The sequence below is a fragment of the Homo sapiens genome, chromosome 4 (assembly GCF_000001405.40).
Source record: "Homo sapiens chromosome 4, GRCh38.p14 Primary Assembly".
NCBI classification, from domain to species: Eukaryota; Metazoa; Chordata; class Mammalia; order Primates; family Hominidae; genus Homo; species Homo sapiens.
In genome coordinates, this window is record NC_000004.12 from 13,583,473 (window position 1) to 13,597,192 (window position 13,720).

At 37.2% G+C, this 13,720-nt stretch overlaps 1 protein-coding gene across 10 annotated transcripts in view; it reads right to left on the minus strand.

Moving 5' to 3' along the window:
* The window catches only part of BOD1L1 (biorientation of chromosomes in cell division 1 like 1), a 58,988-nt gene that overhangs the window by 14,735 nt on the left and 30,533 nt on the right, over positions 1–13,720 (minus strand). For all 10 annotated transcript variants that reach the window (XM_017008010.2, XM_005248151.4, XM_017008009.2 and 7 more), the window contains 7 exons: positions 13,632–13,696; positions 12,388–12,472; positions 8,451–8,494; positions 6,914–6,974; positions 5,250–5,320; positions 4,227–4,299; positions 2,924–3,003 (listed from right to left, as the gene is read on the minus strand). In XM_017008010.2, coding sequence (XP_016863499.1) covers positions 2,924–3,003; positions 4,227–4,299; positions 5,250–5,320; positions 6,914–6,974; positions 8,451–8,494; positions 12,388–12,472; positions 13,632–13,696 — 479 coding nt within the window. The remainder of the gene's footprint in view (positions 1–2,923; positions 3,004–4,226; positions 4,300–5,249; positions 5,321–6,913; positions 6,975–8,450; positions 8,495–12,387; positions 12,473–13,631; positions 13,697–13,720) is intronic.

Sequence of the window (13,720 nt, forward strand, 5' to 3'; positions counted from 1 at the left end):
GATTTCCCTACTTGGATGCATTCAATGTCATTGGGTTTTGATATAGCCTTTCAGGGACTGGAAGGGGATGGATATAAAAGCAATTCCACATTTCACACAGTCTACTGAAACAGTGGAATTTCTGGCCCACTTCATGTCAGATATGATTAGATCTTCATTCTTTTTTACCTAACAATGAGGATGACACAGAGCTTCTGCTACTTCCTAGTAAAAGAAGTGTCAGCTCAGCCATTTCTCTTATTATTTGTTTGTATCTGCATTACAAATATTATCTTTGTCTTATGGGGTTTTTTGTTGTGGTTATTTTTGCCGAAACCTCAAACCAGTGTCGGTATTGGGAGGGTCAATTCAATTAAAACAAGGTAAACAAACTCTGCAAATTCATTTAGTTGAGCATCTGTAAACTATTAAGTCATATAATGCTGAAAGTGAACAAACAAGTGAGGGGCTCATTCTCAAGTCCTCTGTGTTGTGGGACTCCCAGCTACCCTTAAGGTACTTTGACAGTACTACATAACTAGGTCCAAGACATGCAATAATGTGCAAGACTAACAGGTGATGTCAGAGGAGAGCTCACTTTCAGTGATGGCACCAGGGCCAACAATCTATACAGTAAATATTAGTAGAGATTACTTTTTAAGATTTTTAGATAAAAGGCATATATAAATCGTGGTTCTACCATTTCTTCTCACATTCTGATGGCTTGTCGTACATCCAATTTGGGAGGGTGTTGATTTAGAGGATGGAAGGTCAACTCGTTTGGGAAAGCCAAGGAGAAACCTATTTGCTCTGTTATCAGCACATCAACACTGAGGCTTCACTGAGACACTCATGCTGCACTGCCATTTTCAGCTCAGGACCTCTTCAAGTGCTCTGTGTGTGTGTGTGTGTGAGAGAGAGAGACAGAGTGTGTGAGATGGAGAGAGTCAGCATGTGTGCGTGTGTGGCGGGGAGAGAAAGAGAGAGAGAGTGTGTGTGTGTGTGTGTGTGTGTGTGTGTGTGTGTGTGTGTTGGAGCGAGTTTAGGAGCAGGCAGAAGTTTTTGGGGTCTTCTCCCTCATTTCAGCCAGAACATCTACACTTTTATCTGTTTCATATAGTGGGCTGAAGATGTCCTGCACAAAAGTCTTCAAACCATTGGACGAACTGCATTTCTGTTTTTGAACTGGCTCTTTCAGAGCCAACACTTGGTCCTGTAAGCACTTAATCAGATCCTGATGACACGCACGCAACTCACTTTTTATTTCCTGCTTTTATTTTTCCAGTGCCTGGAATTTTTTCACGTATTCAATTTTGGTCTTTTGGTCTTACTATACACATTTTAGAATAATGACTTTATTGATTTTATAAAATGGCACATATTTACTACACAGAAAACTTTAACAGAAATGATGAAATCACTCCCAATTTACTGTCCAAAAATTACTAATATTAAGATGATATTAAATAAATGCTATTGCAGACAGCTTTCCATGTAACATTCTTCTGTAGTAACTGAAAATACTGTGTCTATAAAACTGCTTAATGAAAATAAATTGATTTTATTTAAATTTAACATTAAAAAATCACGAAATTTAAGAGAAAATGAAATGATACCCCTTCAATCTGCTTTTCTTCAAATTTAGAAGTATTGTCTCAGGATTTTTGATTTTGGACAGGGCAGGGTGAGGGATAGTTTAAGAGCCTGTTTCTTCCTTTGGTCAGAACCAACTAAAATTCATGACAATATGCCACTTTCCCTCTTAGGTTATTAAACCTTTTCCTACTTTTTATTTAGTTCTTCGGTTACTGGGGAAAAAAAGAGACCAAAGTCTGGTTTTAGAGAACTGGAAGTCAGCTCAAATATTTTCATAACTGGACTTAAACACTTTTGGAATAAGGCGTCTAATAATTTATAAAAATATAAATTAGAGAAAGAGAGAGGAAAAGATGGAACTAGTTTAGACAGATAATGAGAAATTTTAGAGTACTGAGTCTCAGAAATGGAAGAACACCCAAGAAGAGGTATCTAGTAGGGAATGAAAAAATCTGGGCCTACAACAAGAGACGGCAGAACACAAATACAAATTTGTGAGGAGGTTCTGTGAGTCATAAGATGAAAATAAAACCATAGGAAAAAAGGCAATGGGTGAGGCCAATCCTTAGAGTACCCAGATTTTAGAGGCAGGAGGTGATATGATTTGGCTGTGACCCCACTCAAATCTCATTTTGAATTATAGGTCCCATAATCCCCACTTGTAGTGGGAAGGATGCAGTGGGAGGTAATTGAATCGGGGGGCAGGTTTGTCCTGTGCTGTTCTCCTGACAGTGAATAAGTCTCCTGAGATCTAATGCTTTTATAAAGAGGAGTTCCCCTGCACATGCCCTCTTGCCTGTTGTCATGTTAAGACGTGACTTTGCTCCTCCTTTGCCTTCTACCATGATTGTGAGGCCTCCCCAGCCATGCGGAACCGTGAGTCAATTAAACCTCTTTCCTTTATAAATTACCCAGTCTCAGGTATGTCTTTATTAGCAGCATGAGAACAGACTAATACAGGAGGTAAGCTAGAGAGCAGAGTACTAATAATAACTGTATTTCAATATTTTGGTGCAAGTATATCTGTGATAAAGCACATTATACTTTTGGAAGAAAGCATTTAGAAACCTCAAGAAATCAATACTACTACTGAACAAAAACCTAAGCAATGTTATATCTAAATTGTAATAATTAACACGATCTTGCAGTTTAAGAATTATAAAGTGCAACATTTGATTTTTGGGAGGAGACTAAAAAATAGACACCTTTTATAATAAAGTGATTATTATTAGAGACATTTAAAGAGGGATAGTAAAATGAAAAAAATATTATACTAAGTATTTACAATGCTGTAATTAGGCCTCCCTACCCCCACCCAAAACTTAAAACTAATATGTGGAAAAAATACCTTTGTGTCATGTGGCTCCGTTTCAGGACACTGCCTTTGTGCTGTTTCTATTCTGGAATCCAGGACATCTGGATTATCATCTGTAAATCAGTTTAGACAGAATCACAAAGGAACAAAAGCTAAATGAAAAATGAAATGCATAGTTCTATTTTAAGACTGTTTGAGCCTTCTTTCTTAGGCCTGTGATACAGAGAAGCCAAAAGTTACTCTATATTTATAATATCATGTGATTTGAGCACTGAACACTTGCCTTTCGCCCTGGCAAAGTAAAAATAAAACAAAATACAAAAATCCCCATATGTTCACATGACACCAATGAAGTAGTGGGTTCTATGGGAAGGGCTTAGCGTATAGTTTCCAGAGATACTTTAACTTTCTAAATGAGTTACCACCTAAGAGGTATAGCTTAGTAATTGAGACCATGGGCTTTGGAATCAGATTTATGTGGTGAAGATAAAGTCGTAATTTTTCAGAACCTTAATCTCTTTATCTATAAGATGACAACACCACCTAACTTACAGGTTTATTGTAAAGATTAAATGGGAATGTGTATAATGTACCATGGATAGTACCTGAATACATCAGGAACTCATTAAATTGCTACCAAATAATATAAAATATAAATATTTCATTCTTCACTCATTCTTTCTCATGTAGTCATTCAATAAGTATTGAACTTCTCCTTTGTGTCAAGTATTAAAGGTCACTGCACTGTTCAACATGATAGTCACTAACCACATCTGGCTACTGAAATATAAAATAATTAAAAAACAATTAAAAATTCAGTCTTTCATTTCCACTGACCACTTTCAAGTGCTCAATAGTGACATGTGGCTAGTAGCTTCTGTATTAGACAAAATAAATGTACAAGACTTCTATCACTGTAGTTCTACTAGAGGGCACCGTTACAGACCATGAGAAAATCAACAGTATGAAGCACAGAATGGGTGTTAGAGGCACTTTTGGACTAAAGTGCTTCACTAGCTCTGTAGGGTATCTGCTTATGATATAAAATACAGACTGTAGTGGCACCTGGCTGGGCTCCAGGGTGTGGTTCCAGAGAGAGCCTGTCTTTGTCTGAGATCCAGCGGTTGGGTCTTCTGCAGGAAGCAATCTAGTTTCTAGATTGGGGTCCAGAAAGGACTCCGGAGGTATCAAGCCAGTCTAGAAACAAATTAGCCTCAAGACTTGTAAAGTAGAGAGTTACTATCCTCAAAAATTCTCTATGTTTTTGGCTCACTCTTTTGGATATAAAAATAATGATTTTCAAAGATGTCTAAAACAGAAACATAAATATAAATACCTGGTTCATCTTCTGAAGAGAGATAATGCTGCTTTCTTTTTCTTTTAGGCATATGCCTTTCTTCCTCTTCAACCTGGAATTAAGAATGACTATATCAAAGGCCATAGAATCTTGATTCAAATAAACTGAAAGAGGAGCACACTGTACTAGATTCTAACCTTTGGAATAAGTTGATATATAAATTTTTTAAAAATCTAGAACACTTGGCCGGGTGCAGTGGCTCACACCTGTAATCCCAGCACTTTGGGAGGCCCAGGTGGGCGGATCACGAGGTCAGGAGATCAAGACCAACCTGGCTAACACGGTGAAACCCCGTCTCTACTAAAAATACAGAAAAAAATTAGCTGGGCGTGGTGGCGGGTGCCTGTAGTCCCAGCTGCTTGTGAGGCTGAGGCAGGAGAATGGCGTGAACCCCGGAGGCGGAGCTTGCAGTGAGAAGCGTTCACACCACTGCACTCCAGCCCGTGCAACAGGGGGAGACTGTTTCAAAAAAAAAAAAAAAAAGAAAAAAAAATCTAGAACACTTGATATTTAGATTTGGATTAGACTAATTTTGTAAACTTCAGTCTCTTTTCTGGGTTTGAATGCAAATTCATACAACACATGCTGTTTCTAGCTACATACTATATTTCAATAATTCTAAAACGCATTTAAAAAAATTATTTATCATTTCACCATTTCTGAAGTCAAGCTATATATATCTTACAACTGATGGCACATCACAATTAGTATTTTTCTACTGTCTTAGTGGCTTATTAAAAATGGACTTCTTATGGTTGATGAAAGGTGCATGAAAAACCATTCTGACTGTACAACGTGGGCACTTCCAAACAGTCCTGGGAACTGCCAAATTGCCTAAACATTGAAAGGGCATATACAGGTAAAAGTGACATGTGGAACTCTCAGTATACCCATTTAATATTTAATTTATACAAAGAAATAAAGCCTTTCTAAAGCCCTTCTTTGTGTACAGTGAAAATATTATGTATAAAATATCAAACACTTGAGTTTATTAAAATGCACCTCTTTAGGATCTGCTTCAACACTGTGACCGCTTATGGCTTCTGCGTTGTCTTTTCTACCACTGGATATCTCTGAGTAATAAATACAAAAAAGAAAAAAAAATCTTAAATATTTTTATATTCCAATACTTACTTAGGTATGTGTTAGGGGGCTGGGAGAAAACTGAGTTAGTAACTTTATTGAGTACCAGTTATATACAGGGCATTGTGGTAGATAGTCACAAATGATTTTTGATGGGATCCTCCACACAACTCTGTCAGTTAAATTCTCTTTTTTCCACTTGTAGATGTGAGGGAATGGGGTTCAAGAAGGTCAGTAACATGTCTGGGGTAACAACACTGGACTTTACACAGAAGACTTCAAGGCCCTTCCCCCCAGTTTGTGTAGCAACACAGTATTAAGAAGCATCACTGAAAATAATGAATCATTGCATCATAATCATCAGGCTAACAAACAGTCACCAAACAATACCAAATATGGCAGATGGTGTGGAGTGACAACTGGTACACCACTTGGGGTCAATTTAGCACATGCAGTAAAGTTGAAGAGGTGCCTATAACTGAGCAATTCCATACCCAGAATTACAAGTACACTACATAAGCACTGGGAAAGGTATGAGAACATACACAGTAGCATTCTTTGTAATTGGGAAAAGTTTCAAAATACCTACATGTGCAAAATAATGTACAAATGAAGCAAAAAATACTAACTGTGGTATATTCAAAAGCAATTAAAATAATTAGAGTTAATATAAATCAACAGAACAAAATCTTAGAACGCTGCTGAATGAGCAAATAAGGTGGGGAGGGTTTATGTAACGTGAGACCACATATTTACCTAAAGCAGGCAACATAGGTTACATATTGTTTATGGACCTATATATAATTAATGCAGAATAGTGGTTCCTTTTGGAGTGGGATTAAAAGGAAAGAGATTGGGATTGGGAAGGGGTAAATGGGGATTCCACCATAACTGTTAACATTTTTTAAAAGGTATGTGAAGCAAATATACTAAATTGTAAGATAGGGCAAAACTAGGTTGGGGGCACATAGGTGTTTATTACTGCTTTACTTTTGTTTGAAATATGGTATACATTATAAAAATAACTGTCTAAGTAAATAAGCCTCTCTCCCCACTCCTATAATAGGAAATTAACAAAATTAGTAGGCATCAAGAAAATTCTATGTTCTGTTTGAGAAGGGAATTTTCTGTTCAGAGTTGGCAGCCTGCACGGGTTGTGTGGCCACCAGACCTCACCCCTGGGAGAAGACCCACATAAATGTGACATCCTTGATATGCTACCATCCTAAACTGCCTGTCAGAAGTTAACACATTTCACAGTTGGGTACTTGCAATCCACAGGGGGCTATTCGTTTTGTATTTATGTTGGATTGAGTCAACTGGGAGATTAATGGCAAAGTTCTAGTAGCTATTTAAAGCAAGACATCACTTTTAAGCTGTATGGCTTGGAATAAGTCACCTGGCCTAAGACTCGTTCTCCTCAACTATACTCCTGATGCTGTTAACTATCACTTTACTGAATTTTTATGAATTAAATGAGAGAAAGTATGTAAAATAATTAACACAAGGCCTGGTATACAGACCACACTCAATAAATGTTAACTATAATATTAAAACTATAACTATGAAATTCATTAACTTACCTCCTTTGTTATAAGATTCGCTATGAATTTCTTCATTTGTTCTGAAGCCTGAATTTTCAACCTAAATATACAATATAAAAGATATTTATGGATAGTCTCACAAAAATTTAAAGGCAAAAAGAAAGAAGAGAGAAGGTAATTTACATAACCTGGCTATTTGTACAAATGCCAAAAGGAATTGGGGTACATATTCTTTTTAATTTCACCCAGAAGCTCAAAAGCATGCAGCATCTTCTTTTTGAAAAAATTTCAGTTTAACAAATTATTGTGCTTATTCTGCCTGTCCTTAAAGCAGCCAATGGCAAAAGAGTAAGAATAAATAAGAGAAAAATTTTCTGAATTCCATAAATTTCCCTTCCCATCCAAATCCTGCATGATTTTCTTTTTTCTTTATTTAAAAACTCTATAGGATTCTGTAATAAGATTTCCTATTTGGCAAATCTTATCAATTCTACTGTTTTTCTTTTTTTAAACTGAGGGGAAAGGCTCAGAATATCCTATAATATCCTAAGTCCTAGCTACAGACTTTTGCACAAATTTGGAAAGGACATTTATGCTCGACTGGGGAAAAGACAGCTGCTGGTGGACTCAAGGGACTGAGGTAGGATGGAGAACATGCCAGCTGGCTCGGTAAGCTCCAACCCCATTTAAAGTCTTTTTAAATTTTAAAGTGTATTTTATTAAAAAAAAAATTTTTTTTTTAAATAAAAAATTATGCTATGTTGCCCAGGCTGGACCCAAACTCCTGGGCTCAAATGATCCTCCCACCTCAACTTCCTCAGTAGCTGGGACTATAGGCCATGCCACTGTGCCCAGCCATAATCTTTTTAACTCTTGGATGGCAAACTTGAACCACACCAAGTGGTGCTTTTCTCTTTCTTCTTATTCAGCATATGGTGTATGAGTTTCTAGCTACAAAACAGAGTGCTTGATGAGGAAGTACTCTGATCCCGCGGTTCACTGATAGTACCCCAATTCCTCTAGGAGCATTGGAAAGAATGCAGTTGTCTGCACATTTGGAAACATTTTATAAAATGTTCACTCCTGGTACAATACAAGGTTCCTTATAAATACATTAAGACAGAAAGACCAAAAACAAGACTCTTTCAAGAATGAACGGGATTATGAGAGCCACATCTGGGAAAAAATATGTACACATAGCAGTTACAGGTTAGTATCTTGAGAAAAGCTTTCTAAAAACATAAAGTGAAATTTAATTCTCAAACTAAAATCTATTTTGTCTATAGCACCAGGATGATTTAAGACATCAAAATCTAATTTTCAATCCCGTTATAATAATAAACAATAGAAAGTTCAAAGTTCTTTATCAGTGGGTATAGGTGAACATGGAAAAGAGCTAGTGAAAGCTGCTGTCAGGATGCTGAACTCAAATGAAGAGTACACTACCAAATGCCTCCTGGCTACTACAGAAATACACAGGCAACCCCTTCAGATGGCTCCTCCTCAATAGCTCTCCAAAAAAATAAAATTAAAAAACCCAATAACCACAAAAATCAAAACCATTACAGTGACTTACATTTAGTGATTCATTCACCAACAAAGGCTCCCTCTGGAGTTCAGCTGTTCAAAAATAAAAATGAGATGTAAAGAAACTGAATATTGTTTCTGAAATGCAGAGAAACAAATTTGAAGATTTTTAGGATAGGGAACCTATCCTATGTCACCAAGTGGCTTAGCTGCTTTCATAAATTATAAAAATCTGACCAGTTATTTCCCACAATCAATCCATGTTGTACTACCAGAATATACTACCAGAAAAAGACAACATAAATTAATGTTGCCTGCATTTTTTATAATAACGGCAGTGGTATATTACATCACTATGGTGATTTAACTATGTTGGTGATCTGAAGCTTAGAAAAAAAGTAAAAGACCTTAATGTAGCTGTTAAGCTGCAGTATAACACTGGTTCATTTAAAATAATAGCGTCAAATGAAAAGTTAGATCCTATCCCCTCCAACAGCAATGGTCTGTTTATATGCTTTGGAAACATGAAGTACAAAGTCTACTGTTTCTACTCAACAATGACAGAACACACATTTTTCTTTTAAACAACTTCCTTTTACGTAAGTAGATCTCTTACTGAACTGTACCTAAACACAGTAAAGTTATCTGAAATATAACTGTGGGAACAACGGACTTCAGAATCCAAAAATGTTAGCTTCTTGACAATTAACAAATGAGACGTTAATTATTTGTAGTATAAAACACCCATGCACATTTTAATTAATGTATCTTTCCAAGTTTTGAATAGATTAGTCATCTTCAGGGTTTTAACATGTCAGTATAAATGACTTACCAAGTCTTGGTGTGGTCTTCCAGGACTGGCTGACACTTCTTACGAGTCTTCTGAGACCCTTTCAGATGGTTTTGTGTAAGAAGGTCCTCAACTGCTCCCACTCCCCAAACCTCCCCAGATAGTCATGGGTGAGGATTTATATGCACTATTCACTTAATCTGAATCATTCCACATCTACTGCCCTTCTCTTTGCCTTGTACACTTAATGCATACCTACTCATTATTCAATATTTAGCCTCAAATGAGTAACAAGTACTTATAAAAATTCAAAACGTATACAGGTTGAGCATCCCAAATTCAAAAATGAGAAATCTGAAATGCTCCAAAATCTGAAATTCTCTGAGTACCAACATGACTCTCAAAGGAAAGGCTCACTGGAAGTTTGACTTTGAATTTTTAGATACGGGATGCTCAATGAGGTATAATGCACATATTCCCAAACCCTAAGAAATCTGAAATTCGAAATACTTCTGACCCCAAGCCTTTTGGATTAGGGATACTTAACCTGTATATTCTTTGACCCTCCCTCCCCCAATCCAATTTTATGAAAATACTTGGTAAAACACATGTAGTGATATGCATTATGAAAGTTCGTTGCAGCCCTGTAACAGTAGAAACCCCGAGGCCATTAAAAGACCTAAAATTGGTATTAGGGATGATTATTTAGCTATTAAAACAAAGAAAGTGGATCTGTATATGCTAATAAAGTAATGATGGGTGCCTGCAATACATGATCGAGTGAAAAAAAATTCTATAACAATATAAATATAATTTTATTGTACTGAAGGTGGTTACTCATAGGGAGTGGGAAACTTTTTATGCATTTCTGTATATTTTACTTTCTATAATTAAAGAAGATGGGGTGGGGGAAGAGATTGATTGAGCCAACACAAGTCTTCCCTGAGGCCCTACCTCAGGGAAGCTGACTCCCACAGTCAAGTACGTATCTTTATTATAGTACCTTACTTATTTGCACGTTGATTTCAGTGAATGACTTACTTCCATCAGTCATTTCCATGTTGATTTCCCTAGTACTCACAGGTAGCAGACTTGATGTTTGTCAGGGAAATAATTTAAAGAGCCAATCCAACTACAGTAGACATTACAGTTGCCCTCCTGGCACCTTTCCCAAGAGCCCAGACTGTGGTCTGGAATACCATGTGGATCCAGGAACACAGCACCTGACTTAAGTCAACTAGTAAGCTACATTCCTCTGGTCACAGTAATTCGTTTAGGGTGGACACATGTACTTATGCTAAATCAGAATAAGTCTCAGGTTTTTGGCCAGGAATGGTAAGCCAAAGCTAAAAGTAGAGGCTATGAATGAGAAAGCAATGACCCTTATTCAGGGGATGAGGAAGAAGACATAAAATGGAGTTTCTACTAGATGTGTCTTTGGAGCTATCTGCATCCTCTTGGATTATGCTTTACCTGAATTTTTCAGTTTTGTGAGCTAATAAAGTCCCTTTAAGCAAATGCCTATAGAGTTTTTTGTTATAAGTATTTACAACAAAAATCACCCTGACTGTTTACTCCACCTGACTTGCATGGACATTTTAACATTGTGGAAAAAAATTGAGGACTGGCTTAAATTTGGTCACATACTCTATAGTTCCTAGTACTTAGAAAAAAATATTGTGGGAAACAGAAGAAAATACACAATCATGTTTGTAATACAAATTAGAAATAATTCCTCACTGTCACAGTTCTTCTCATTTCCATTTCCTTAAGCCAGTATGGTCCAGCCTCTCTGGGGAATTCCTGAGGCTTTCCATCAAGGAATCCACAAGGGCCAAACTAACATTATTTGTCTTACAGACTCATGAGTGCTCAATGGAATTTTCCAGAGGCTAAGATGTACCCATAATTATCTGAAAAGGCTACTAAAACCCAACCATTGGCCGAGCGCAGTGGCTTTCAGTGGCTCATGCATGTAACCTCAGCACTTTGGGAGGCCAAGGCGGGCGGATCACGAGGTCAGGAGATCGAGACCATCCTGGCCAATATGGTGAAACCCCATCTCTACTAAAAATACAAAAATTAGCTGGGCATGGTGGTGTGTGCCTGTAATCCCAGCTACTCAGGAAGCTGAGGCAGGAGGATAGCTTGAACCAGGGAGTCAGAGGTTGCAGTGAGCCGAGATCACGCCACTGTACTCCAACCTGGCAAACAGAGTGAGACTCCATCTCAAACAAAACAAAACAAAATAAAACAAAACAAAAAACAAAAACCCAACCGTCTATCTGTAATGTTGGATTTTCTTCATTTACTTTAATCAAAACAATAAACAGCAACAGGACTGAATGTGAAAACAGATACGAGAAATAGCTGTTTTTTATTAAGCCAGACTTAAAGGGATTTGCAAAAATGCAAAACAATGTCACTTTTATCACTTAATTGGGTTTTTTGGAAAATCTAGCCATTTTTCATGAAAAAAGAGTTGTTAACTTATAGTGAGTTAATTATATTGAATTAATAGTGACTTAATATTTACTTTTCTCAATTTTAATTTCTTATTTGGCAAATGTCAACAGGTATAAGCCATATAACAAAATCTCTTTGGGGTCTTCGGTAATTTTTCAGTAATTTTTGGTCCTTGAGACCAAAACGTTTAAGAGCTCCTGCCTTTATCCTTTCTGATATTGAGGATCTCCCTTAAAATCTGTAGTCCACAGTGAAGAATGTTGCACAGAGAGACTGAGATGAGGTTATACAAGCTGAGAGCAGTATCTGTGCAGCCACTGGGGAAAAGCCTGAGCAAGAGACAAGAGCAAATGGTGTAAAGTGGGCCCTTATCCTCAGACTAGCCTTTTGGAAGTAAGCTGCAATAGCATCTGGGGACAGGCAGGGGTATGGAGAAACATTTCTGGGATAGAGCAAGAGTTTGCTCCAAAACAACTTTCGTTTTGCATTATTATTTGGGGGTAATCAGATTTAAACAATTACCCTACATAATGTTGATTGACATTTCATGAGGAAAAGTGTATGTTAAAAATAAAATAGTAAAGAATTCTCCCTAATCTATTTTAAAAAGTGAGAGGCAAGTTAATAGAGCCTGTATGTTACTATGCATCAGCTATTGATTTTTAGAAAGGTAAAACCACATGCAAGGCAAAAACAAAAACAATGTGAACAACCATTCTAAAGAGCTCACCTATTCCACTTGGCTTTCCCCCACACAGACTTTCTGGTGGTGCCAGAATTTCACCATTTTTCTCTTCCTCTGAAGGCACATAAGCCTAAAAAATCCAAAGCACCATAAAAATAAGTTAACCAGGGTTTTTACAAGAAGACTAACCTCAAGTGAATTAAACAAAAAAAAACCCAGCATCCTGAAACAATATAAAAGCCTATTTTCAAGAGTACACAAAACTTAAAAATAAATACATCAACCTTTAAAAACAAAGCCAAGTAAAAAATCAATTTAATCTCGTATTTCATCCATCAATGGGTATTCTATTGCTTTAAAGGTAAAAACCCCAACTCAGCACACCACACAAGACTCTTCCTGATGGGCTCCCACTCCCTTCCAGGCTCAAGTCTCATCACAGCTCACCGTGAACCACTGCAGCGCCTGAGACACACCACGTGCCCTCCTGTCTCTGAGTCTAGAACACAACATTCTCTTTGCTTGGAAGGCTCTTTTCTTTCTTTTCTGGGAAATTTCCACTCTACTTTCAAAATTCTATTCCAGTGTCCTCCTTGCAAGCCCTCCTGTCTACCTGCCTATTGCTACTATTGGGCAAGTTGTGTTTCCTCTGTAGTGTTCATAACCCCCATGTTCACTGCTGTTTTGTCACATATACTTGGATGGTGCCTTCAGATCAGGCTAGAAAGAGGATATGGAGACTAAATTGTGTAAAGCACCAAAGCCATGCTTAAAAAAAAAAAAGCAGATTTTATTCTAAGCATGATGGGAAGCCACCACAAATTTTAAGCAGAGCAATGACAGGGCCTAAGTTATGTTTCTAATGACTACCTGCAGGACTGTGTGAATCACACTGGAGGAGGGCTGGAGTGAACTAAGCCTAATGGAGAGGCTACTGAAGTAGTGGCTTAGCCTAGGGTGATGACTGTAGAAACAGAAATAGATGGACTCATGTTATATTTTGGAAATGGAACCTGTAAGAAATGGCGATAGATTAAATGTGGGATGACGGAGAAACTGAGGGTGACTCTTGTGTTTCTGGCTTGAGTAAATGAACTGATGATAGCACTATTTACTAAGATTACTGAGGTTCTTAGCTTTCCCCCCACAGGATATGGCAATAACAACACTAAATATCATAAGTACAATGAGAACAGGACCTATATACCACATAAGTATATATATGTGTATATGTGATGAAACAGTATTTAATCACTTACAGTTCAGCACAGCTGAATTATAAGCCATACCTCCATTTTCAAGTTGGCTTTCAGTTTCAATCCTCCCAAAACATTCAATGGAGACTCTTCATTGCCTAATAAAATTCAAGCCATTTAGT